General features: G+C 40.7%; 1 long non-coding RNA gene across 2 annotated transcripts in view, besides 7 other annotated features; it reads left to right on the top strand.

The window, feature by feature from the left end:
* Positions 1 to 26,447, top strand: part of FIRRE (firre intergenic repeating RNA element) — a 139,119-nt gene that overhangs the window by 57,186 nt on the left and 55,486 nt on the right. For both annotated transcript variants that reach the window (NR_152876.1, NR_026975.2), the window contains 4 exons: positions 4,762 to 4,909; positions 16,749 to 16,847; positions 17,712 to 17,860; positions 24,000 to 24,152. This is a non-coding gene — a long non-coding RNA (firre intergenic repeating RNA element). The remainder of the gene's footprint in view (positions 1 to 4,761; positions 4,910 to 16,748; positions 16,848 to 17,711; positions 17,861 to 23,999; positions 24,153 to 26,447) is intronic.
* Positions 4,923 to 5,217: an enhancer, noted in NCBI's record as "tiled region #13451; K562 Activating DNase matched - State 12:CtcfO". NCBI's record gives its function as "activates a minimal TATA promoter and a strong SV40 promoter by Sharpr-MPRA in K562 cells {active_cell/tissue: K562}" and the evidence as "EXISTENCE:reporter gene assay evidence [ECO:0000049][PMID:27701403]".
* Positions 9,081 to 9,130: an enhancer, noted in NCBI's record as "active region_29962". NCBI's record gives its function as "activates an Ori minimal core promoter by ATAC-STARR-seq in GM12878 lymphoblastoid cells {active_cell/tissue: GM12878}" and the evidence as "EXISTENCE:reporter gene assay evidence [ECO:0000049][PMID:35858748]".
* Positions 10,183 to 10,462: an enhancer, noted in NCBI's record as "active region_29961". NCBI's record gives its function as "activates an Ori minimal core promoter by ATAC-STARR-seq in GM12878 lymphoblastoid cells {active_cell/tissue: GM12878}" and the evidence as "EXISTENCE:reporter gene assay evidence [ECO:0000049][PMID:35858748]".
* Positions 20,054 to 20,213: an enhancer, noted in NCBI's record as "active region_29960". NCBI's record gives its function as "activates an Ori minimal core promoter by ATAC-STARR-seq in GM12878 lymphoblastoid cells {active_cell/tissue: GM12878}" and the evidence as "EXISTENCE:reporter gene assay evidence [ECO:0000049][PMID:35858748]".
* Positions 20,604 to 20,783: an enhancer, noted in NCBI's record as "active region_29959". NCBI's record gives its function as "activates an Ori minimal core promoter by ATAC-STARR-seq in GM12878 lymphoblastoid cells {active_cell/tissue: GM12878}" and the evidence as "EXISTENCE:reporter gene assay evidence [ECO:0000049][PMID:35858748]".
* Positions 26,064 to 26,253: an enhancer, noted in NCBI's record as "active region_29958". NCBI's record gives its function as "activates an Ori minimal core promoter by ATAC-STARR-seq in GM12878 lymphoblastoid cells {active_cell/tissue: GM12878}" and the evidence as "EXISTENCE:reporter gene assay evidence [ECO:0000049][PMID:35858748]".
* Positions 26,364 to 26,423: an enhancer, noted in NCBI's record as "active region_29957". NCBI's record gives its function as "activates an Ori minimal core promoter by ATAC-STARR-seq in GM12878 lymphoblastoid cells {active_cell/tissue: GM12878}" and the evidence as "EXISTENCE:reporter gene assay evidence [ECO:0000049][PMID:35858748]".

The raw sequence follows: 26,447 nt of genomic DNA, 5'->3' as shown, positions 1-26,447 counted from the left end.
TCTAAACGGAGAGATAGACAGGTGTACAACAATAGTGGGAGACTTCAGTACCCCACTTTCAGTAATGGACAGCTTATCCAGACAAAGAAACATTGGAATTAAACTGTACTCTAGACCAAATGAACTTAACTGACATTTACAAAATGTTTCATCCAATTGCTGTAGAATATACATTCTTGTCATCAGTCAGCACATGGAACACGCTCCAGTATAGAGCATGTGTTAGGCCACAGAACAAGGCTCAACAAATATAAGAAAAGACCCGAAAATATGAAAGTACCAGAAGAAGAGACTGCGGAAATGCTTTAAGACATCATTTTGGGCAATGATTTTTTTGTGGGAGACCTCAAAAAGCACTGGCAATCAAAGCAAAAATGGACAAATGAGAGTAAATCAAGCTAGAACGCTTCTGCCCAGCAAAGAAAACAATAAAGTGAGGAGACAACCTACAGTAAGAGAGAATATATTTGCAAACTTAAAAAAGCTCAGCTCAATAGAAAAAAAACAAATATATCTGATTTACAAATGGGCAAATGATCTGAATAGACATTTCTGAAAGAAAGGCACACAAATGGCTAACGGATACATGAAAAAATGCTCAACATCACTAATCATCAGGGAAATGTAAATCAAAACTACAGTGGGGTACCGTATTTCCCCAGCTCAAATGACTCTTACAAAAAAGACAGAGAGTAACAGGTGTTGGCTAGTAAGCAGAGAAAGAGGAATGCTTGTATAATGTTGCCTGCAATGTACATTAATACAGCCTCTATGAGACACAGGATGGAGTTTCCCAAAAATACTAAAAATAGAATTACCATATGATGTAGCAATCCCACTGCTGGGAAATCAGTACTATATATATATATATATGCATTCTCATGTTTATTGCAGCATTATTCACAGTAGTCAAGATATGGAATCAACCTAACTGTTCATTAATGGATGAATGGATTAAGAAACTGTGGCATACATATAAAATGGAAGATTATTTAGCCAGAAAAAAGAATGGAATTCTGTCATCTGCAGCAACATGAATGGAACTTTAGGACACTATGTTAAGTGAAATAAGCCAGATACAGAAAGACAAATTATCACATGTCCTCACTCATATGTAGGAGCTAAAGGAATCCATCTCATGGTATGTATAGAGTAGAATGGTGGGTACCAGAAGTTAGGAAGAGAGGGGAATGAAGACAGGTTTGTTAATGGCTACAAAAATACAGTTAGACAGAAGGAGTAAGTTCTAGTGTTCAACAGCACAGTTAGGACATCTATAGTTGACAATAATTTAATGGTTATTTCCAAATAGATAAAACACATTTGAAATGTTCCCGAACACAAATAATAAATGCAGTAGGGAATGAGTATCCCAGTTTTCCTTTTTTGGTTATCACACATTTTATGCATACATCAAAATACCATGTGTACCCCATAAATATGTACAACTATAATGCATCAATTTTAAGAATAGGCAAAGGTCTTAAATAGACAATTCTCCAAAGAAGATACACAAATGACCAACAATTACATGAAAACATACTTCCATTATTAGTGTTTTCAGAAATGTAAATCAGAACCACTTCATGATACCACTTAACACCCACTAGAATGGATATTACTTAAAAAGAACAAATATGGGTGGGGAGGCGGAGAAATTGGAACCCTTCTGCAGTGAAGGTGGGTATGCTAAATTGCGCATCTGCTATGGAAAAGTTTATCAGTCCTTCAAAAATTTAAACATAGAAATAACCGTATGACCTAGCAGCTCTACTCCTAAGTATACTCCGCAAACAATTGAAAACAAATACTCAAAAAAGTACATGTATATACTCACTGTATATATTTATTAACAATACCCAAAAGGTGAACACAAGCAAACATCAATCACTTGATGAATGGATAAACAAAATGTGATATATACATATGGATATTATTCAGCTACAAAAAGAAATGAAGTACTGACATATATTACAACATGGATGAAATCTGAAAACATGCTAAGTGAAAAAAGCAAAATGAAAAAGGCCCCTTATTGTGATGATCAGTAGTGAGGGAAAGCAGATGAGTGTTTGCCAGGGGCTCGGCATAGAGTGGCATGGGGAATGACTGCTTCATGGGTCCAGGGTTTTCTTTTGTGGTAATGAAAATTATTTGCCACTACACAGAGTTAGTGCTTGCACTGCATTGTGAATGTACTAAATGCCGCTGAATTTCACACATTTTAATGGTTAATTATATGTTACATGAATTATACCAACACAGTTTTAAAAAGTGCCAATATTTTTAAACCTATCATTATTTCCAGGAATAACTAATTATATTTGAAAAGTACTCAAGTTATCAGTTACAACATGGATGAAATCTGAAAACATGCTAAGTGAAAAAAGCAAAATGAAAAAGGCCCCTTATTGTCATGATCAGTAGTGAGGGAAAGCAGATGAGTGTTTGCCAGGGGCTCGGCATAGAGTGGCATGGGGAATGACTGCTTCATGGGTCCAGGGTTTTAACAACTTGTTTTAACAATTATACTACAGGGGAATTTGAACATTAGTTTATAAATGTACATATTATATGTGCAAAGGAACAAATCATAATACGTAGCCCAAACATTTTAAAAGTGATTATTTCTTCTCACTGTGTTTGACCTACCATATGTTTTCTGCTTATAATTCTTAAAATTCTTCTAGAGTAAAATATAAAAAAACTCAAGCACTCAGAAGTATATATTGATATGGATATATTCAAAGATTATAAGGTGATGCTGAGGATTTTGGACCAAATTTCAAATAGTATGAATCCAGTTATATTGAAAGTAAAATGTGTGCGGTACTCTGTGTGTATTCATATCTGTTCATATGCATATACAAATGTTTAAATACCATATATATGTTTTTTTTACACAGGATCAGACTCTGTTGCCCAGACTGGAGTGCAGTGGCAGGATCATGGCTCAGTGCAGCCTCAACCTCCCTGGACTCAGGTGATCCTTTCACCTCCACTTCCTGAGTAGCTGGGACTACAGGTGCATGACACCATGCCTGGCTATTTTTTTTTTTTTTTTTTTTTTTTAGAGACAGGGACTCGCTACATTGCCAAAATTGCTAATTACTAAATTGGTCTTGAACTCTCAGGCTCAAGTGATCCTCCTGCCTCAGCCTCCAAGAGTGCCAGGATTAGAGTTGTGAGCCACCACGCCTGGCCAATGCCATATATTTTATATCATGGTCAGTGTTATACTGAGCATGCATTTGAATATGATATTTTTGACCAATAAATTCATATCTTTAATTCATAGTTACATAAACAGAGACATTAATGAAACATTATAGCTTCATGTGAGTGGTGTGAATACATCCATCTTAAAGTTTTACTGGGGTTCACATCTAAGTGACTGAATATGAGATGTGCCTATTTCAATTATCATTTATTGAATTTTGTTTTCTTTCTTTTGAGATTTTAAAGATAAAATTTGAAGGTAAGAATTAGAGATAAAAATTCAAGAATAATTTTAAAATCCTAATTTTCAGAGGCATAACTATGTAAAATATATATATTTATATATGTGTTTATGTATGTATAAATAGATTTTATAGATTAAAAAAGCAAGGTGAGATCTTAATTCTTAATGACTAGTCCAATCACATAGTTCTTTGCAAATATTTTATTGTCCAAAATTCAGAAATTGCAAATTTTATATGACAATGTCAAAAACTGGTCAGAAATCAAATTTTAGAATGAAAATCTTCATTCATACTATGGAATATTCATACTAAAATGCAGTGCATAGCTAAATCCAATTTAAATGTAAATTCATTGTGTTGACTATATATAGAACTTTTTATCTATGTATTGAAAAATGGAATAAATATGGAAAAGGGTATCAGTGTTTAATATACAGTTTTATGAGACTGCTTTTCTCTTGATCAGCACATGGGTTTTTTTTTTTTACTTCTTTGCAAATTCCACCTTTTTGTTACTAATGAGAAAATATAGGACTGAATCCTAACTGGAAAACAGTAACACATATACACAGCAAAGTTATAGGGCAGTCTTAAGCCATGGCCATTTAATGACACAGGAAAATGTTTGTGTTCCAACGTTAAATAATGAAACCATGAGACAAAATCCTGTGATCCATCTGATTAAAATTTATAGTCATTCCTGTGTTTGTGTCCATTCGAATCGGGTTCTGTGTCTCTGTCAAGCTTGAGAACTACCTGGTCCCTTATCTTAGAGCTCCACTAAATGGCAGCCTCCCACTCAACATATAAGGCCCAATGCCTGGATCAGAACATGAAATGGAACTCCTAGGGAACCTGGGTAGGGAGTCAGGACAAGAACCACATGGCCTGGCCGGGCTCGGTGGTTCACGCCTGTAATCCTAGCACTTTGGGAGGCCGAGGCAGTCGGATCAGGAGGTCAGGAGATCCAGACCATCCTGGCTAATGCGGTGAAACCCCGTCTCTACTAAAAAAAAAAAAAAAAAAAAAAAAAAAAAAAAAAAAAAAATTAGCCGGTCGTGGTGGCGGGCGCCTGTAGTCCCTGCTACTCAGGAGGCTGAGGCAGGAGAATGGCGTGAACCCGGGAGGCGGAGCTTACAGTGAGCCGAGATAGCGCCACTGCACTCCAGCCTGGGCAACAGAGCAAGACTCTGTCTCAAAAAAAAAAACAAATGAACCACATGGCCTGGTGCCTAGATTTGCTCTTCTCCAAGACCTTAGGTGTTAACATTTCTTTGTTTGTTTGTTGTTTCCTTAGGCATGGATCCCTGAGGTCTGCCCCAGTACTATAAGACAATTTGATGTAAGAAAACACAGCAGATATAATACTGAGTGAAGAAGAGTATAAATGAGAAGATTGGTTGTGCAGATACTGAGTTCATGAAAAGAGGAGATGATTGATGAGGGTGAGTGGATCACACCTCGGTTTAATATCCAATGGAAAACAAAAGCAAAATGCTAAGAGTGGAATAAGTTTACACAAATTGAGCAAACTGCTAAGTAGTTCTAGTTTCTGGTGTCTTTGTCTCTTCTTGGCCTTTTTTTGAAATGTGATGGGCGGGAGAATAGCGCCTAGAGCAAAGTCAGTTGGCTTCTCCCGTACAATACTGCCATCGTGCGGAAACAGTTTCGTAGCATCCAAAGCCGTGAGCGTTTCCTCCATGTGAGCCCTAGCAATTGAAGGAAAAGCCAGTGAAGGCTGAACAGACCCGAGACACAAGTTGATCTTCCTATCCTTTTCTCTGAGGCCTGGCAGAAGCAATGAACAAATGCAAAGTCTCCGTGAAGTATCTGCTGAGTGAGGGAGCAGGACTGAGCCAGCTGCTTCCAGGAAGTTTTGGCACAGGAAGTAGAGGACAGGGCCTGTTTTCTCATAGTGGGGACAAGGCTAGAAAATGATACAGCCAAGTACAGACCCTTGGGGCATTTATGTTATGAATATGCCCTTGGGAGCTTTAGGCAACCTGGTTGTCCTTGTGTTGTGGGGCTGTGACATTTATAGCAGCAGTGTTGGCTGGCAATGACAGGCCAATTCCAGGAACCATCTATCTGAAGTCAGCGTCACTCACATGGTCCTCAATACACTAAAATTCTAACCACCATTGCCTATAGCTAGAAGGACCTCTGTAGAGCAGTAAGGATACACTGAGATGCCTATGTGGGCCAGATCATCTTTTAGGAGAGCTGATATGCTAAAGAGGATGAAGGCCAAAAATGCAATGGAAGGCCTAAGCAATTATCTGAGCGCACAAGCCAGCAGCTTCTGTGACGTTATAGGTTCAGGAGAAAGTCTTTTGTCATAATAGGACGCCGATGTCATCTCAGTTCTCTCAAGGAGGGCAGATAGGTGGCTCTTTTCTGTTCGATGTCCTTGGTAAGTATGGCATTGTTTAGGCCTGAGCAAATCATTATCTACTGCATCCTAGCTAGTATTTTCTGTAGCAGCTTCAAATCTATTTCCTAATGAAGATATCCAACCTTTGGTGTGGAGACCTCTAGATACTTTATGACTCATAATTGAGAATCAAAATGGTGACTAAAAGTGTATGGGTGACTTGATCCTCATGACATTCTTCCTCAGAATTTATTATTTTAGTATCTGAATTCTTAATGAAAGGAATTAATGTTAGTCTGGTTCTGCACTGTGACATTACAGTGCTTCAAGAGCTTGTTCAGGTATGACCTCTCCTGGCCTCTGAGGATTCAGGCAGGCATTCCAGGGTAAGGCATTCTAGGGTAACCTAGCTTTTTTGACATCTTTGACTTTGTCTAGTTGAATGATGATCTGCATACATAAATGCTATTGGCATGCACAAGTGTCTTGGAGACTCTCTGGGAAGCATTTCTCCATGACCCTTGATATCTTACCTCCCCAGAGTATTTCACCTAAAGTAGACTTAGACATCTGCTAAACTACCTCCTATGGAGGAATAGTTTGACCTGACCATTTTCATGGAAGAATACAGACCTACCTATGGGACAGTGTCTCATATCTGAAGGTAGAAATGCTGGTGTCCCCAAACCTAGAATTCTTTAGGCTAAGTGATCTTTTATTCACCCCTTGCTAACTATCTTTAATAGAGGCTGTGTGCCTGGGCAGTGGATAGAAGCCTGGCAAGGAAATCACACCTAGCCAAGTACCAGTGGTAGTGACAAGGAGGTTGATTGGTTTATTCTGCAATGGAAGATAGTGTGGAGGGGCAATGAGCCTATCATTCCCATTTAGGTTGGATACATGTCATTCATTTGCACCAGGTAGTCCCTTTAGCCATCATAAAATCTTAATTGCATTCTCTGTATCCTCGTAAACAGCCATTCCTTGCCTCTGATTTAGGGAGAATAGCAAATTGTTGAACCTTGTGGATTAAACCTACCACACCATAAGATAAATAATAAATAACAAAGTAAAGTGTATTTTACTCTACTCTTTTTTTTTTTTTTTTTTTTGAGGTGGAGTCTCGCTCTTTCACCCAGGCTGGAGTGCAGTGGCGCAATCTCGGCTCACTGCAAGCCCTGCTTCCTGGGTTCACACCATTCTCCTGCCTCAGCCTCCTGAGTAGCTGGGACTACAGACGCCAGCCACCACGTCTGGCTAATTTTTTGTATTTTTAGTAGAGACGAGGTTTCACCGTGTTAGCCAGGAAGGTCTCGATCTCCTGACCTCATGATCCGCCCGCCTCGGCCTCTCAAAGTGCTGGGATTACAGGCATGAGCCACCGCGCCCAGTGCATTTTACTCTACTTCTAACATGTCATAACCTTAAACCAAACATATAGTCATGTATGTATTCTAGAGAGCCAATACGCACGTTGTGATGCATCTGTAAAAATTTAAACAAAAAATGAATGGTGTCTACATTTCTAAAGGAATGTTTCTGAGCATATATTTTTCAGAGTTACCTTCATTTACACTGAAGGCTTGCAATGTTGAAAACATTTACCATTTATGATATTCAAATGAATTCATCCTCCTGAAAGCTTTGTTAAAATACACACTTGATCTGCTCCAAACCACAGTGTAGAGTGTGACCCAATTTCAATACAGATTTGTTATTTGCATGAAATTAGGAATGTATATATAGCCGGGCGTGGTGGCTCACACCTGTAATCCCAGCACTTTGGGAGGCCAGGGTGATTGGATCACTTGCGGTGAGGAGTTGGAGAACAGCCTGGCCAACATGGTGAAATCCTGTGTCTACTAAAAATACAAAACAATTGGGGATGGTCCAGGTGGCTCACGCCTGTAATCCCAGCACTTTGGGAGGCCTAGGCGGGCAGATCACGAGGTTGGGAGATGGAGACCATTCTGGCTAACATGGTGAAACTCTGTCTCTACTAAAAACACAAAAATTAGCCGGGCAGGTGGCATATGCTTTTAGTCCCAGCTACTCAGAAGGCTGAGGGAGGAGAATCACTTGAACCTGGGAGACGGAGGTTGCACTGAGCAGAGATCACATCACTGCACTCCAGCTTGGGTGACAGAGCGAGACTCCGTCTCAAAAAAAAAAAAAAACAAAACCAACAAACAAAAAAAACCAAGTAACCAGGCCTAGTGGCATGCACTTGTAATCCCAGCTATTCAGGAGGCTGAGGCAGGAGAATCGCTTGAACTGGAGGTTGCAATGAGCCGAGATCTCGCCATTTCACTCCTGCTGGGAGACAGAGAGAGTTTTAGTCTCAAAAAAGAAAAAAAATGATGTGTATATATCGGGGAACCAGCCCCGATATTCACGTAGGTTCTTTTCTATTTTCCTTAAGCGTCGGCCAGCTTGAGAAATAAAGGGACAGAGTACAAAAGAGAGAAATTTTAAAGCTGGGCTTCTGGGGAAGACATCACATGTCGGTAGGTTCTGAGATGCCCCACAGGCTGCAAAAACCAGCAAGTTTTTATTAGGGATTTTCAAAAGGGGAGGGAGTGTGCGAATAGGTGTGGGTCACAGACATCAAGTACTTTACAAGGTAGTAGAATATCACAAGGCAAGTGGAGGCAGGGAGAGATCACAGGACCGAGGGGAAATTAAAATTGCTAATGAAGTTTCAGGCACCATTGTCATTGATAACATCTTATCAGGAGACAGGGTTTTTGAGATCAACCAGTCTGACCAAAATTTATTAGGCGGGAATATATGCATGGAAATATATTCTTTTATTAGGCGGGAATTTCCTCTTCCTAATAAGCCTGGGAGTGCATGGAAATAATCCAAATTTATTTATTTATTGCCTAGACAAATTGTATTGTAGTGCTTTCCATCTTTATTAGTACATTGATTTTTCTCAATCTTTGTCAAGCATTATTCTTTAATTAACTAGTGGGAGAATACTGTAAGACTTATATCTAAAAGACAAATTATAAAATACACATGCACACACACACACACACAAACAGACACACCCCATAAAGTCTCAGGAAATACTTGAAGACTATGTAGTGTCATGGGAACATGCCGAGTTTTGATGTTAAATGACGAGACCATGAGATGAAACTGTGAATAACCTTGATAGGAACTGAAGATATGTAGTATGAGTATCATGCCATGTGGAGCGCATATGGCATGCAGTAATGACAGCTATCTGGTCCCTCCTCTATGGTTCATGCCAAATTGTTGTCTGCAATGCAACACATGAGCTAAAACATGAAGAACTCCCTGGTTGTCTGGAAGGGGAGCCAGAATAGAGACCACCAGGATTTGTAAATCCTGGTGGTCTCGGAGCCTCAAGCAATTTTATCGCTGTGCTTTCATCCCCAAATTTATCCCCCGAGGGAGACAGTTTGATGCCATGGAAAGTACTGGACCTATAAATCTGAGGTAAATCGTAATCATATAGACTAGGTTAGGAGGATTTTAAATGTCTGAACAAATAAGATTTCTGATGAGGGTGGGTGGTTTCGGCCTTGGTTTGATTTCAGATGGAAAACAAAAGCAAAATTGCCACAGTAAGACCAGATGACTCCAAACTGGGCAAAAAGCAAGGCAGCCATGTTTCCTTGTGCCTTTGTCTTTGGGTGGCGTTTTTTCAGACAAGAAGGGCGGGAGAAGAAGGCTCCACGACACCTGTTAGCACATCTAGAGCACTACTGCCACCGTTAGGACATAGTTAAGCAACGCCCTACGCCCTATGCCTAAGCCATGTCAATGTCCTTCCCCTGAAGACAGTCCTTCCACCTGTTGGAGAAGGTCTGGCCTGTGGGGAGGGGGAAGAGGCTTGAGCTCCATGCTGCTCATCCTTGCCCTATCCTCAAAGACCACACTTTGGGAGGCTGAGGCGGGCGGATCGTCTGAGGTCGGGAGTTTAGGACCAGCCTGGCCAGCATGGTAAAACCCCATCTCTACTAAAAATACAAAAATTAGTCGGATGTGGTGGCAGGCGCCTGTAATCCCAGCTACTCAGGAAGCTGAGAATCGCTTGAACCCGGGAGGGGGAGGTTGCAGTGAGCCGAGATCTCGCCATTGCACTCCAGCCTAGGCAACACAGTGAGACTCCGTCAAAAAAAAAAAAAGACCTGGACATTGGTAGTGTCTTGGTATAGAACCTGGAGAGTGAAGGAAAGTAAATACTGTGAATGTCGCTTGGTAAAATCCTGTTCCTTGTACACGGTACTGATGCTACCAGAGACCCAAAGACCTGTAGCAAGATGCAAGCACATGAAAGCCTGCCAACTCTTGCTCCAAGGGGCAGGAACAGGAGACAGATGCCCACAAGAGCCTGCATGTGTGTTTGAGTGGGTTCCTGTTGTCCAGCAAACAACTGGGGAAATAGAGGCCCTGCCCCGGAAATTCCTGTGCCAGGACTGCCTGGCAGCTGCTGCTTCACTCCAAGCCCCTCACTCTCCAGGTTCTACACCAAGATACCGCCAATGTCCAGGCCTCTCTTAAGACCTTAGAGGAGAAGGCAACAAGACCTAGCCTGGAGCCCAATCCTCTTCCACCTCAGCATAGATTAGACCTTCCCCCACAGCGAGGCTTCCAGGGAAGAATACTGTAATGGCGGATTCTGTCTTCAAACTATTTCCTCACGGTGGCAGTAGTGCTTCATATTTTCTTGGAAGCTCTGTCTAGGAGCTTTCTTCTCCCGCCTTTTCTGTCTGAAAAAATGCTACCCAGAGACAAAGGCCCCACGGATCATGGCCACCAGGAGATTTGTCCAGTTTGGTACGACCTTGTCTTACTGTTGAATTTTTGCTATTTTCTTTCCATCTGAAAACAAAATGAGGCCTAAACCACCCATGCTCCTCACGAATCTTGTTCTTTCAGAAATTAAATATACTCCTCACTGAGACTATCTGGGTATGATTTACTTCACACTGTTACAGGTCCAGCAAGTTCCATGGCATCAAATTGTCTCCTTCAGGTGATAAACTGGGTGGATGAAGGTACAATTAGGAAAAATTTATTTGAAACTTGGGGAAGATCTTTGGCAAACAGTTTACAAATCCTGGTGGTCTTTGACCTGGTTCCCCTCTCGGACAACCAGAGAGTTCATGTTCTAGCCTCATGTGTTGCATTGTAGGCAAAAATTTGGTTTAAGTCATAGAGTAAGGACCATCTGGTCATTACTCCTTGGCCTATATGCTCCACATGGCGTGATCCTCATAGTCCCTATGTTCAGTCCCTATCGAGATCACTCAGTTTCATCTCATGGTCTCAACATTTAACACCAGAACACAGCATGTTCCCATGCATTACATATTCTTCAGGGATTTCCTGAGACATTAGATGCTGTGTGTGGGGGGGATGGGTGTGTGTGTTCTGTTCTGTCCCTTGGAGCAAGAGTTAGTAAGCTTTCAGGCAGTGTTACTGTATCACAGTCCTTTGTTGCAGCAGTATGAGAACACCAAAGACAGGCCTGTTCCAGGTGTGATAAAGCAGGAGCCAGTATGTTTGCTGATAGTCTCAAGGGCATCTAGTTGTCTAAAGACTGAAAGGACCTAAAGTTTTACATTTTCTAGTAGAGTTGTTTTTTGGTTTTGTTTTTTTAGATGGAGTCTTGCTCTGTCGCCCAGCCTGGAGTGCAGCAGCACGATCTCAGCTCACTGCATCCTCCGTCTCCCAGGTTGATGGGATTCTCTTGTCTCAGCCCCCCGAACAGCTGAGACTACAGATGGGCTCCACCACGTTTGGCTAATTTTTGTATTTTTAGTAGAGACGGGGTTTCACCATGTGGGTCAGGGTGGTCTCGAACTCCTGACTTCATGTGATCAGCCCGTCTCGGCCCCCCAGTGTGCTGGATTACAGGCTTAAGCAACTGTGCCCGGCCGTTCCTTTTTATTTTTTGTTTATTTACTTTCTTAGTGGAGTTGTTACACATAAAGGGATGGGAAACAAAAGGAGTGAAAAGGATTGAAAATTAATCCACATTTTAAAAGTGCTTGTCTGTGGGAGGTAGCATTACCCATGATCTCACTTTGTTAGCGGTGGCAGTGAACCGAGTTACCCCGAGTAACAGGCGGCATATCTATATAGGTCGACAGCAACTTCAGTCCTTGCCTCCTCCAAAGAAATAACTCGACTGAGGGTCATAAAGCAGAAAAAGAGACTGAGGCAAGATTCAGAGCAGGAGTGGAAGTTTATTTAACAGGCTTTAGAACAGGAAAGAAAGGAAAGAAAGAACCCTTGGAAGAGATCCAAGTGGGTGCCTGAGTGGCCAAGAGAACAAAAAGACCTTTTAACCTTGATCATGGGACCTTATAGGCTTACCTCTTGCTCATGATTCTTCCTTTAGGGTGAGCTTTCCGCATGCGCAGTGCCCTCCTTACCCTTTGGAATTGAGCACTGTGCAGTGTGTTTAGGGAGTTATACACATGCCCATCTGAGGCTTTTTTCCTTTTTCTGGTGGCATGTACCCGGAACATCATATTTCGCCATTTTGTGTCTTAATACGCATGCCCAAGAAGCTGCTTCTCCCTGGGGCCTGCATTCAGTTCACACTTTTAATATTATCAGGTGTGGGCCATCAGGAGATTGCCTCTCCCTTGCTACCAAATTATCATTTTTAGGGAGACAATGTGATCATTGCTGAACCATCATGTGACATTTCTATTGGGTGGGGGAGAGTCCTTTCCTGCCCTGCTTATTGCCTATGTAACTAACTGTAACAACTTTACTTTTTCATGTATGACTATTGTGTCAGGCACATTTTGAAGAAGCATGAGTGTTTCAGTAAATTCAAAAACAGATGGCAAAAGTGACATCAATGACAATGGTGCAGTAGACACTTTCTGTAGTCCATCTCTCCAGAAAAGCAACTCAAAACAGTTAATAATGTATAATTAGAAGATCATTTTCTCAGCACGATATATGGGGCATTAATTAAAAACCTACAGCTAATAATATAGTCAAGAGGGAACGACTGAAAGCTTTGCTTCTAAAATCAGGAACAGGAGAAGAACACCTACTTTTGCCACTTGTATTGAACATTATACTTAAAATTTTAGCCCAGGGCGTCAGGCAATGAAGATATATAAAATACATCCCAATTGAAAAGAAAAAATGGAAATTATTTCTCTTCACAAATACGATGATCTTGTAAAAAATGCTTAAAAATCCAGAAAACAACAATATTAGAGCTAGTGAACAGTATCTAGCAAGCACAGCAGGATAGAACATTAACTCGGAAAAATCAGTTGTAGTTTTATTTGTGTACACTAGCAATGAATAATCTGAAAATTAAATTAAGAAAGCAATTCCCTTTACAATAGCATCAAAATGAATCATATTTTTAGGACAATAGTTAATAGATGAAAGTCTTATACATTGAAAATCACAAAATATTGGAGAAGAAGTTAAAGATAACCTTGATTTTAAAAAAGGACATCCTGTGGTAGTGGGTTGGAAGACAAAATATTTTTAACATACCAATACTACCCACTGAGATCTATAAATTTAATGCAATCATTATTATCCCAATGAGCATTGTTTGTTTTTGTAAAAAAGGAGCACAAATTCTAAAGATCCTATTAAATTGCCAGAGATCTGATAACCAATGTAAAGTTTGAATAAGAAAAACCAAGGTAGAAGACTCACACTTCTATATTTCAAAACTTACTAGAAAAGCTAGAGTAATCAAAGCAGTGTGATAATTAAATAAGAATACACACAGTGATTAATGGAAGAGATGGAGAGTCTGGAAATAAACCCAGACGTTGTGGTCAATTCATTTTTGACAAAGTTATTCAGGTCATTTTATGAGTAATTAATAGAGTCTTTAACAAATAGTACATAGACAACTGGTTATGCATATGCAAAAGGATGAATTTAGGCCGGGCGCTGTGGCTCACGCCAGTAATCCAGCACTTTGGGAGGCTGAGGTGGGCGGATCACAAGGTCAGGAGATCCAGACCATCCTGACTAACGCGGCGAAACCCTGTCTCTACTAAACAATACAAAAAAAAAAAATAGCCGGGCGTGGTGGCGGGCGCCTGTAGTCCCAGCTACTCAGGAAGCTGAGGCAGGAGAATGGCGTGAACCCGGGAGGCGGAGCTTGCAGTCAGCGGAGATTGTGCCACTGCACTACAGCCTGGGTGACAGAGAGAGACTCCGTCTCAAAAAAAGAAAAGAAAGAAAAAATTTAAGGATCCTGGGTGACAGAGTGAGACTCCGTCTCAAAAAAAAAAAAAAAAAAAAGGATGAATTTAGTCCTCTGCCTCACATTATATCCAAAAATAAGTCAAAATGTATCAAATTTCTAAATGTAAGAGCTAAAGCTATGAAACCTTCAGGGACACTATAGGGATAAATCGTCACGACTTTAGATTTGGCAATGATTTTTTAGCTATACCACCAAAAGCACCAATTAACAAAAGAAAATATAAATTGGACTTTCCTGAAATTAAAAACTTTTTGCATCAATATACACTATCAAGAACTTGAAAAGCCAATTGACACAATGTGAGGAAACATTTGTATATCAATTATCTAGAAACTTCTAATACCCAGTACATATAAAGAACTCTTAAAACCTAGAAACAAAAAGATAGATAACCCAATTTATATCGAAGAGATAAGATATCATGGTCGGGCGCGATGGCTCATGCCTGTAATGTCAGCACTTTGGGAAGCCGAGGTGGATGGATCATGAGGTCAGGAGTTCCAGACCAGCCTGGCCAACATGGTGAAACCCCGTCTCTACTAAAAAACACAAAAATTATCGGGCATAGTGGCATGCGCCTGTAATCCCAGCTACTGGGGAGGCTGAGGCAGGAGAATCGCTTGAACCCAGGAGGCGGAGGTTGCAGTGAGCCGAGATTGCACCACTGCACTCAAGCCTGGGCAACAGAGCAAGACTCCATCTAAACAACAACAACAAAAAAAAACAGAGAGAGAGAATGGAAGAAATTTGAAAACAGCTTAAGTGAAGGAAACAAGACTAAAAAGACCACTTATTGAGATGATCAGTAGTGAGGGAAAGTAGATGAATGTTTGTCAGGGGCTGGGCAGAGAGTGGAATGGGGAATGACTGCTTAATGGGTCCAGGGTTTTCTTTTGTGGTAATGAAAATGCTTTGCCAATAGAGATAGTACTTGCACTGCATTGTGAATGTACTAAATACCACTGAATTTCACACATTTTAATGGTTAATTTTATGTTATGTGAACTTTACAAACTCAGTTTTAAAAAGTGCCAATACTTTTAAAGCTGTCATTATTTCCATGAATAATTAATTCTATTTGAGAAGTACTCAAGTTATCAGTGAAGAAAACTTATTTTAACTGTTATACTACAAGGTGGCCGGGCACGGTGCCTCATGCCTCTAATCCTAGCACTTTGGGAGGCTGAGATGGGAGCATCACTCTAGGCCAGGAGATCAAGATCAACCTGATCAACATAGCGAAGCCCCATATCTAAAATTTTTTTTAAAAATATAAATAAAAAACAGTTATACTACAGGGGAATTTGAACATTAGTTTATAAAAGTCCATATTATATGTGCATAGGCAAAAGTGATTATTTCTTCCATTATGTTTGACCTACCATATGTTTTCTACTTTATAATTTCATAAAGTTCTCCTAGAGTAAAATATGAAAAAATTACAAGCATTCAAACGTATATATTGATGTAGATATATTCAATGAGTATAAGGTGATACTGAAGATTTTGTACAAAATTTCAAACATTATGCATCCAATTATATTTAAACTGTGTCGAGTGTGTGTGTATTTATATCTGTCTAGGTATATTACAAAATTTTTAATGCTGTATATGTATGATTTTTTAGACAGTGTCTCACTCTGTTGCCCAGGCTGGAGTGCAGTGGTATGATTATGGCTTACTACAGCATCAACCTCCCTGGGCTCAGGTGGTCCTCCCACCTCTGCCTTCTATGTAGCTGGGGCTTCCATTGCATACCACCATGCTCAGCTATTTTTTGTATTTTTTGTATAGACGAGGTCTCACTACATTGCCAGAGCTGACCTTGAACTCCTGGGCTCAAGCTGTCCACCTGCCTTGGCCTCCCAAAGTGCTGGGATTACAGTTGTGAACCACTATGCCCAGCCAATGCTATACATTTTTAATCATGGTACATGTTATACTGAGTATATGTTTGAAGATGGCATTTTTGGCCAACAAATTCATATCTTCAATTCATCATTATATAAACAGAGACACTAATGAAGCATTCTAGCTGCATGTGAGTGGTGTGAATGCATCCATCTTACAGTTTTCTTTTTGTTTTTGTTTTTGTTTTTTGTTTTTTGTTTTTGTGAGACAGAGTCTCGCTCTGTAGCCCAGGCTGGAGTTCAGTGGCGTGATCTCGGCTCACTGCAACCTCCACCTCCTGCGTCCCGGTTCAAGCAATTCCCCAGCCTCAGCCTCCCAAGTAGCTGGGATTACAGGCATGCGTCACCATGCCCAGTTAATTTTTGTATTTTTAGTGGAGACGGGGTTTCACCATGTTGGTCAGGCTGGTCTTGAACTCCTGACCTCGTGATCCGCTCACCTTGGCCTCCTAAAGTGCTGGGATTACAGGCATGAGCAACCGCACCTGGCCGTACAGTTTTCTTAGGTTACACATCTAGGTGACTAAATGTGTGAGATGCCTATTTCAACTACAATTTGTTGAATTTTGTTATCTTTCTTTGAAGATTTTAAAGATAAAGTTTTAAGGTAAGAATTAGGAATAAGAATTCTAGAAGAATTAAAAATTCTAATTTTCAGAGGTATAAGTATGTATTATACATCTGTTTATATTGTATATAAATATGTATTTATATGTTTATGTATGTTTAAATATATATATATTTTTTAGCCAGGTGCGGTGACTCATGCCTGTAATCCCTGCACTTTGGGAGGCTGCGGCGGGCGGATCACCTGAGGTCAGGAGTTCGAGACCAGCCTGGGAGACAGAGTGAGACTCCATCTAAAAAAAATTAATATATGTATATATATTTATATATGTATCTGTATTTTTTAGATTTAAAAGTGAAAATTGAGAACTTATGTTTTGATGAATAGTCCAATCAAGAAGTTCTTTGCAAATATTTTATTGTCCAAAATTCAGATATTACAAATGTTTTATGAGAATATCAAAAACTCCTCAACAATCAGATGTGAAACTTTTAATTCTTCAACCTTAAGTATAGCTAAATTCAGCTAAAATGTAAATTTATTGTGTGTTTGACTGTATACATAGAACTTTTTATCTGTGTATTGAAAAAAAGGGAGTGAATATGGAAATGGTTATCAGTGTTTAATATATAGTTTTATGACATTGCTTTTCTCTTCATCAGCATATGGTTACTGTTTTACTTTGCAAGTTCTATGTCTTGTCACTAATGAGAAAATATAGGACTTATTCCTAATGAAAAAGAGTAAGACACATGTACAACAAAGTTATAGGACAGTCTTAAGTCATAGCCATTTAATGACACTGGAAAAAATTTCTGTTCCAATGTTAAATAATGAAACCATGAGACAAAATTCTGTGATCCATCTGATTAGAATTTATAGTCATTCCTGTATTTGTGTCCATTCAAGTAGGGCTGTGTGTGTTTTCTCAGGCTGGAGAGCTGTCCGAACCCTTATGTTAGAGCCCCACTAAATATCAGCCTCCCTCTCAACATATAAGGCCTAATGACTAGGTCAGATCGTGCAGTAAAACTCCTAGGGAACCTGGGTAGGGAGTCAGGACAAGAACCACATAGCCTGGTGCCTAGATTTGCTCTTCTGAAAGACCTTAGGGGTAAAACTTTTTTTTTTCTTCTCTCCTTAGGCATGGAAACCTAAGGTCTGTACCCAAAACTACAGGACTATTTGACATCATAATAAAACACTGCAGATATGATGCTGAGTAAGAGTAGAAATGGGAAGACTTGGTTGTGCAGTAACTGAGTTCTTGAAAAGAGGAGATGCTTGATGAGGGTGAGTGGATTACATCACTGTTTAATATCCAATGGAAACCAAAAGCAAATGGCTAAGAGTGGAATATGTTTACACGAATTGAGCAAAATATTGGGTAGCCATAGTTTCTGGTGTCTTTGTTTCTTCATGGCCTTCTTTTTGAAACGTGTAGTCATGTATGTGTACACATTCATACAAAAAGCTGATAGTGTCTACTTTACTAAAGTAATATTCTTGAGGTCAAATTTTAAGATTTATCTTTATTTGCCAGGTGCAGTGGCTCATGCCTGCAATCCCAGTGCTTTGGGAGGCCAAGGTGGGCCGATCACGAGGTCAGGAGATTGAGACCAGCCTGGCCAACATAGTGAAACCCCGTCTCTACTGAAAATACAAAAATTAGCAGGGTGTGGTGGCACACACCTGTAATCCCAGCTACTCGGGAGGCTGAGGCAGGAGAATCACTTGAAACCAGAAGGCAGAGGTTGCAGTGAGCCGAGATCGTGCCTCTGCACTCCAGCCTGGGCGAAAGAGCAAAACTCTGTCTCAAAAAAAAAAAAAAAGATTTACCTTTATTTACAGTGAAGGCATGAAATGTTGAAAAATAAGACTTAGTACTGTGGACATTCAAATGAATTCACGCTCCTCAAAGGTTTCTTAAAATACACACTTGGTCTGATCCAAATCACAGTGTACACAGTAATCCACTTTTAATACAGATTTATTTTTTGCTGAAATTAACAATGTACTTATTGAAAGATATGCATGGAAATAATCCAAATGAGTTGCCTTGACAAGTTGTATTGTAGCGGTTTTCTTCATTATTAATACATGGACTATTCTTAATATTTGTCAAGCATTATTCTTTAATTTACTATTTGGAGAATACTGTAATCCTTACACCTAAAAGACAAATTATAAAACTCTCAGAGAAACATATAATTATAAACACACACAGTCCATAAAGTCTCAGGAAATACTTGAAGAATATTTAATGGCATGGGCACATGTTGTGTTTTGATGTTAAACGATGAGACCATTAGACGAAACTCGGAGTAACCGTGACAGGAATTAAACATATGTACTTTGAATATCATGCCATGTGGAGTATATATGGCATGCAGTAATGAGCATCACCTGGTTTCTCCTCTAGTGGCTCATGCCAAATTGTTGCCTACAATGCACCACAGAAGGCTCAGAAGGCTCTCAGAATAGGGAGAACTCCCTGGATGTCTCACAGGGGAGCCAGGTCAAAGACCTCTGGGATTTTTTGTTTTGTTTTGTTTTGTTTTTTTGAGACGGAGTCTCGCTGTGTCCCCAGGCTGGAGTACAGTGGTGCGATCTCGGCTCACTGCAACCTCCACCTCCCGGTTTCAAGCGATTCTACTGCCTCAGCCTCCCGAGTAGCTGGGACTACAGCCCACCACCACGCCCGGCTAATTTTTGTATTTTTAGTAGAGATGGGGTTTCACCATGTTGGCCAGGATAGTCTCGATCTCTTGAACTCGTGATCCGCCCGCCTTGGCCTCTCAAAGTGCTAGGATTACAGTCGTGAGCCACCACGCCCGGCCGACCTCTGGGATTTTTAAATTGTTTGCCGGAGAAGATCTTTTCTGCTTTCAGCCCTTTTCTCCTTTTTGTGTTTTCACCCACCGAATTTATCCGCTGAAAGAGACGGTTTGATGCCACGGAAATTACTGGACCTGTAACTCTGAAGCAAATCAAACTAACACAGACTAGTTCAGGAGAATATGTAATTTTTGATAGAACAAGGGCAGGTGGTTTAGGCCTTGGTTTGATTTGTTTTCTTTTCTTTCTTTCTTCTTTTTTTTTTTTTATTTGAGACGGAGTTTCTCTCTTGTTGCCCAGGCTGGAGTGCAGTGGCGCGATCCCTCAACCTCTGCCTCCTGGGTTCAAGCGATTCTCCTATCTCAGCCTCCCGAGTAGCAGGGATTACAGGCATGCGTCACCACACCCGGCTAATTTTGTATTTTTAATACAGACGGGGTTTCTCCATGTTGGTCAGGCTGGTCTCGAATTCCCGACCTCAGGTGATCTGCCCTCCTTGGCCTCCCAAAGTGCTGGGATTACAGGCGTGAGCCACCGCGCCCGGCCTTTAGTTTGATTTCAAGTTGAAAATAAAAAGAAAAAGTGCAGCAGTAAGACCGGCAAGCTCCAAACTGCAAGATATAAAGCATCCAGGTTTGGAACGCTTGTCTATGGGTGGCTTTTTTTTGAGGCAGGAAGGGCGGGAGAAGAGGACTTTGAACCGGGGCTTCTTCCTGTATGTGGAGCAATACTGCCATCGCGCGGATATCGTTTAAAAAAAAACCCTTCCACCATTACAGTGTTCTTCCCCGTGAGGACTACCTGTTGGCCAAGGTCTGGTCTGTGGGGAGGTGGAAGAGGCTTGGGCTCCATGCTAGGTAGGAGTCCTTGTCTTCTCCTCTAAGGCCTTAAAAGAGACCTGGATATGGGCGGTATCTTGGTATAGAACATGGAGATTGAACGTTCTGAAAGCAAATCCTATAAACTTCCCCTGGAATAACCCTGTTCTATGTGCGCGGTACTGATGCTACCAGAGACCCAAAGACCCATAGCCAGCACGAGAACGTTGGCTGACTCTTGCTCCAAGGGACAGGAATAAGAGATAGATGCCCGCAAGAGCCTCCATGTGTGTTTGAGTGGGTTCCTGCAGTCCTGCCCACACCAGGAGGAACTGGGGCCCGGCCCCACGATTTCCTGTGCCGGGACCTCCTGGCAGCTGCTGGTTGACTTCGAGCCCATCGCACTCCAGGTTCTACACCAAGATACCGCCAATGTTAAGGCCTCTCTTCAGGCCTTAGAGGAGAAAGCAAGAAGACCTAGCCTGGAGCCCAAGCGTCTGCCACCTCCCACTGTTCAGACTTTTCCCCACAGCGAATCTTTCCAGGAAGGACGCTGTAATGGCGTATTGTGTCTTTAAACGATTTCCTCACGGTGGCAGTCGTGCTTCACATTTTCAAGGAATCCCTATCTTGGCGCCCTTTTCTCCCACCCTTCCCGTCTGAAAAAACGCCACTCAGAGACAAAGGCGCCACCCAATATGGCTGCCTGGAGATTTGTCCAGTTTGGTGCAACCTGGTCTTACTGTTGAATTTTCGCTTTTTTTTTTTCCATCTCTAAACAAAATGAGGCCTAAACCACCCATGCTCATCAAGAATCTTGTTCTTTCAGAAATTAAATATACTGCTCACTGAGTCTATCTGGGTATGATTTACCTCACACAGTTACAGGTCCAGCAAGTTGAATGTAATGAAAATGATTTGCCACTAGATAGTGGTAATGCTTGCACTGCATTGTGAATATACTAAATGCCACTAAATTTCACACATTTTAATGGTTAATTTTATGTTTTATGAATTATACAAACTCAGTTTTTAAAAGTGCCAGTACTTTTAAACCTATCATTATTTCCATGAATAATTAATTATATTTGAAAAGTACTCAAGTTTTCAGTGAAGAAAACTTGTTTTAACAGATATACTACAAGGCAGCCAGGCTTGGTGCCTCATGCCTCTAATACTAGCACTTTGGGAGGCAGAGTTGGGTGGATCGCTTGAGGCCAGGAGTTCGAGATCGGTCTGGTCAACATAGCGAAACCCCATATCTAAAATTTAAAAAAAGAAAGAAAGAAAGAAAAAGAACCAGTTGCACTACAGGGGAATTTGAACATTAGTTTATAAAGTCCATATTATATGTGCATAGGGAAAATTGATTATTTCTTTTCACTGTGGTTGACCTATCATATGTTTTCGGCTTTATAATTTCTTAAAGTTCTAGAGTAAAATATGAAAAAAATTCAAACACTCAAAAGTAAATACTGATGTAGATACATTCAAAGAGTATAAGGTGATGCTGAAGATTTTGTAGAAAATTTCAAACAATATGAATCCAATTATATTTAGAGTAAACTGTGTTGTGTCTGTATTTATATCTGTAGGTATATTACAAAATTTTAAATGCCATATATATATATATATATATATATATATATATATATATATATATTTTTTTTTTTTTTTAGACAGCGTCTCACTCTGTTGCCCAGGCTGGAGTGCAATGGCATGATCATGGTTCACCGCAGTATCAACCTCCCTGGGCTCCTGTGGTCCTCCTACCTCCACTACCTAAGTAGCTGGGGTTTCCATTGCAAGCCACCATGCCTGGCTATTTTTTGGATTTTTTGTAGACACGGGGTCTCACTACATTGCCAGGACTAGTCTTGAACTCCTGGGCTCAAGCTATCCACCTCCTTGGCCTCCCAAAGTGCTGGGATTACAGTTGTGAGCCACTGTGTCTGGCCAATGCTATATATTTTTAATCCTGATAGGTGTTATAGTGAGTATATGTTTGAAGATGGTATTTTTGGCCAACAAATCGTGTCTTTAATTCATCATTATATAAACAGAGACACTAATGAAGCATTCTAGTGGCATGTGAGTTGTGTGAATGCATCCATCTTACAGTTTTCTTAGGTCACACATCAAGGTGACTGAATGTGAGAGATGCCTATTTCAACTATCATTTATTGAGTTTTGTTATCTTTCCTTTGAGATTTCAAAGATCAATTTTTAAGGAAAGAATTAGGAATAAAAATTCAAGGAGAATTAAAAATTTCAGTTTTCAGCGGTATAAGTGTGTATAATACATATGTTCATATTGCATATAAATATGTATTTATATGTTTATATGTGTATAAATATATATATTATACTTAAAAGTACAAATTGAGTACTTATTTTTTGTTTGTTTGTTTTGAGATGGAGTCTCACTCTGTCGCAGAGGCTAGAGTACAGAGGCACAATCTCTGCTCACTACAACCTCCGCCTCCCGTGTTCAAGTGATTCTACTGCCTCAGCCTCCTGAGTAGCTGGGATTACAGGTGCCTGCCACCAAGCCCAGCTAATTTTTGTATTTTTAGTAGAGTCAGGTTTCACCATATTGGCCAGGCTGGTCTCGAACTCTTGACCTTGTGATCCACCCGCCTCGGCCTCCCAAAGTGCTAGGATTATTGGCGTGAGCCACCGCGACCGGCCGAGTACTTATGTTTTCATGAATAGTCCAATCAAGAAGTTCTCTGCAAATATTTTATTGTCTTAAATTTAGATATTGCAAATTTTTTATGAGAATATGAAAAACTCAGGAATCATATGTGAAACTTTCTTCAACCTTATGTATAGCTAAATTCAACTAAAATGTAAATTTATTGTCGTGTTTAACTGTATAGATAGAACTTTTTCTCTGTGTTGAAAAAATGGGAGTAAATATGGAACTGTTCGTTTGTTTGGTTTTGAAACAGAGTCTCGCTCTGTCGCCCAGGCTGGAATGCAATGGCGTGATCTCGGCTCACTACAGCCTCCGCCTGCTGGGTTCAAGCAATTCTGCCTCAGCCTTCTGAGTAGCTGGGACTACAGGCATGCGCCACCATGCCCGGCTAATTTTTTGTATTTTTAGTAGAGATGGGGTTTCACCATGCTGGCCAGGCTGGTCTCAAACTCCTGACCTCGTGTTCTGCCCGTCTCGGCCTCCCAAACTGCTGGGATTACAGGTGTGAGCCACCACGTCCGGCCCATAATATGGAACTGTTTATCAGTGTTTAATACACAATTTTATGGCATCGATTTTCTCCTGATCAGCACATGGTTATTTTTATCTTCTTTGCAAGTTCCATGGCTTTGTTAATAATGAGAAAATACAGGACTGATTCCTAACTGAAAAACAATAAGACACATACAAAACAAAGTCACAGGACACAGTCGTAAGTCACAGCCTTTTAAAGACACTGGAAAATATTTCTGTTCCAATGTTAAATAATGAAACCATGAGACAAAATCCTGTTATCTATCTGATTAGCATTTATAGTCATTTGTGTATTTGTGTCCATTCAAATAGGGCTGTGTGGGTCTTGTCAGGCTGGAGAGCTATCCGTACCCTTATGTTAGAGCTCCACTACATATCGGCCTCCCCCTCAACATGTAAGGCCTACTGCCTAGGTCAGATATGGAGTAGAACTGCTAGGGAACCTGGGTAGGCAGTCAGGACAAGAACCACATGGCCTGGTGCCTAGATTTGCTCTTCTCCAAGACCTTAAGGGTAAGCTTTTTTTCTCTTCTCTCCTTAGGCATGGATCACTAAGGTCTGTTCCCAATACAAGAAGACTCTTTGACATCATAATAAAATACTGCAGATACGATGCTGAGTGAAAAAGAGTAGAAATGGGAAGACTTGGTTGTGCAGAAACTGAGTTCTTAAAGAGAGGAGATACTTTATGAGGGTGAGTGGATAACCTCTCAGTTTAATATCCAATGGAAACCAAAAGCAAATGGCTAAGAGTGGAATATGTTTACACAAATTGAGCGAAATGTTAGGTAGTCATAGTTTCTGGTGTCTTTGTCTCTTCATGGCCTTTTTATTGAAACATGTAGGGATGTATCTGTAAACATTCAGACAAAAAGCTGATAGTGTCTACTTTTCTTTCTTTCTTTCTTTCTTTTTTTTTTTTTTTGAGGCAGTGTCTCGCTCTGTCGCCCAGGCTGGAGTGCAGTGGTACAATCTCGGCTCACTGCAAGCTCCCTCCCGGGTTCACGCCATTCTCCTGCCTCAGCCTCCCAAGTAGCTGGGACTACAGGCGCCCGCCACCATGCCCCACTAATTTTTTTTTTTTTTTGTATTTTTAGTAGAGACAGGGTTTCACCGTGTTAGCCAGAATGGTCTTGATCTCCTGACCTTGTGATCTACCCGCCTCGGCCTCCCAAAGTGCTGGGATTACAGGCGTGAGCCACTACGCCCGGCGATAGTGTCTACTTTTCTAAGGCAATATTCCTGAGGCCCTATTTTAAGATTTACCTTTATTTATATTGAAGGCGTGACATGTTGACATATAAACTTAGTACGGTTGACATTCAAATGAATTCACACATCTGAAAGATTCGGTAAAATACACACTTGGTCTTATCCACACCACAGTGTGCACAGTAATCCACTTTTAACACATTTATTTTTTGCATGAAATTAACAGTGTATGTACATATTGAAAGATATGCATGGAAATAATCCAAAAGTTCATGAGTTGCCTTGACAAGTTGTATGGTAGCAGTTTTCTTCATTATTAATACATGGATTTTTCTTAATCTTTGTCAAGCATTATGCTTCAATTTACTAGTTGGAGAGTACTGTAATCCTTATACCTAAAAGACAAATTATAAAACTTTCAGAGACACACACAAACACAAACACGAACACACACACCCCATAAATTCTCAGGAAATATTTGAAGAATATGTAATGGCATGGTGACATGCTGTGTTTTGATGTTAAATGATGAGACCATGAGATGAAACTCTGAGCCACCTTGACAGGAATTAAACATATGTACTATGAGTATCATGTCATTTGGAATATATATGGCATGTGGTAATGTGCGTAACCTGGTTTCTCCTCTAATGGCTCATGCGAAATTGTTGCCTACAATGCACTACAGAAGGCTCTTAGAATACGAAGAACTCCCTGGATGTCTGATCAGGGAGCCAGGTCCAAGATCCCTGGGATTTTTTTTTTTTTTTTTTTTTTTGAGACCGAGTCTTGCTCTGTCGCCCAGGCTGGAGCGCAGTGGCACAATCTCGGCTCACTGCAACCTCTGTCTCCTGGGTTCAAACAATTCTCCTACCTGAGACTCTTGAGTAGCTGAGATTACAGACGCCCGCCACCACCCCCAGCTAATTTTTGCATTTTTAGTAGAAACGGAGTTTCACCACGTAGGCCAGGCTGGTCTCCAACTCCTGACCTCAGTCAATCTGCCCGCTTTGGCCTCCTAAAGTGCCGTAATTACAGGCGTGAGCCACCGCACCCTTCCCCCTGGGATTTTTTAATTGTTTACTGGAAAGATCTTTTCCAAGCTTTAAGCCCTTTTCTTTTTGTATGTCCATCCACCGAATTTATCCCCTGAAAGAGACAGTTTGATGCCACGGAAATTACTGGTCCTGTAACTCTGAAGTAAATCAAACCTACACAGACTAGGTCAGGAGGAGATTTCATTTTTGAAAGATCAAGATTCCTGATGGAGGCAGGTGGTTTAGGCCTTGGTTTGATTTCAAGCGCAAAACAAAAAGAAAAAGTGCAGCAGTAAGACCAGCTGACTACCAACTGGGCAAAATAGAAGGCATCCACGTTTGGTTGTGATTTGTCTATAGGTGGCGTTTTCTCAGACAGGAAGGGCGGAAGACCTTGGCTCAAAGACAGGGCTTCTTGGCATATCTGGAGCACTACTGCCATCGCGAGGAAGTCGTTTAGTGAATCCCTACGCCATTATTACAGCGTTCTCTGAGGACTACCTGTTGGGGAAGGACTGGTCTGTGGGGAAGTGGAAGAGGCTTGGGCTCCAGGCTGGGAGTCCTTGCCTTCTTGTCTAAGGCCTTAAAAGAGACATGGACATTGGCGATATTTTGGTATAGAACCTGGAGAGTGAAGGTTCTAATAGCAAATCCTGTAAACTTCCCTTTGAATACCTTTGTTGATTTTGCGCGGTACTTATGCTACCAGAGACCCAAAGACCCATAGCAAGATGACAGCA

Source organism: Homo sapiens, chromosome X, assembly GCF_000001405.40.
Source record: "Homo sapiens chromosome X, GRCh38.p14 Primary Assembly".
In the NCBI taxonomy this organism is placed as follows: domain Eukaryota; kingdom Metazoa; phylum Chordata; class Mammalia; order Primates; family Hominidae; genus Homo; species Homo sapiens.
This window is presented reverse-complemented; position numbering and strand designations above follow the sequence as displayed.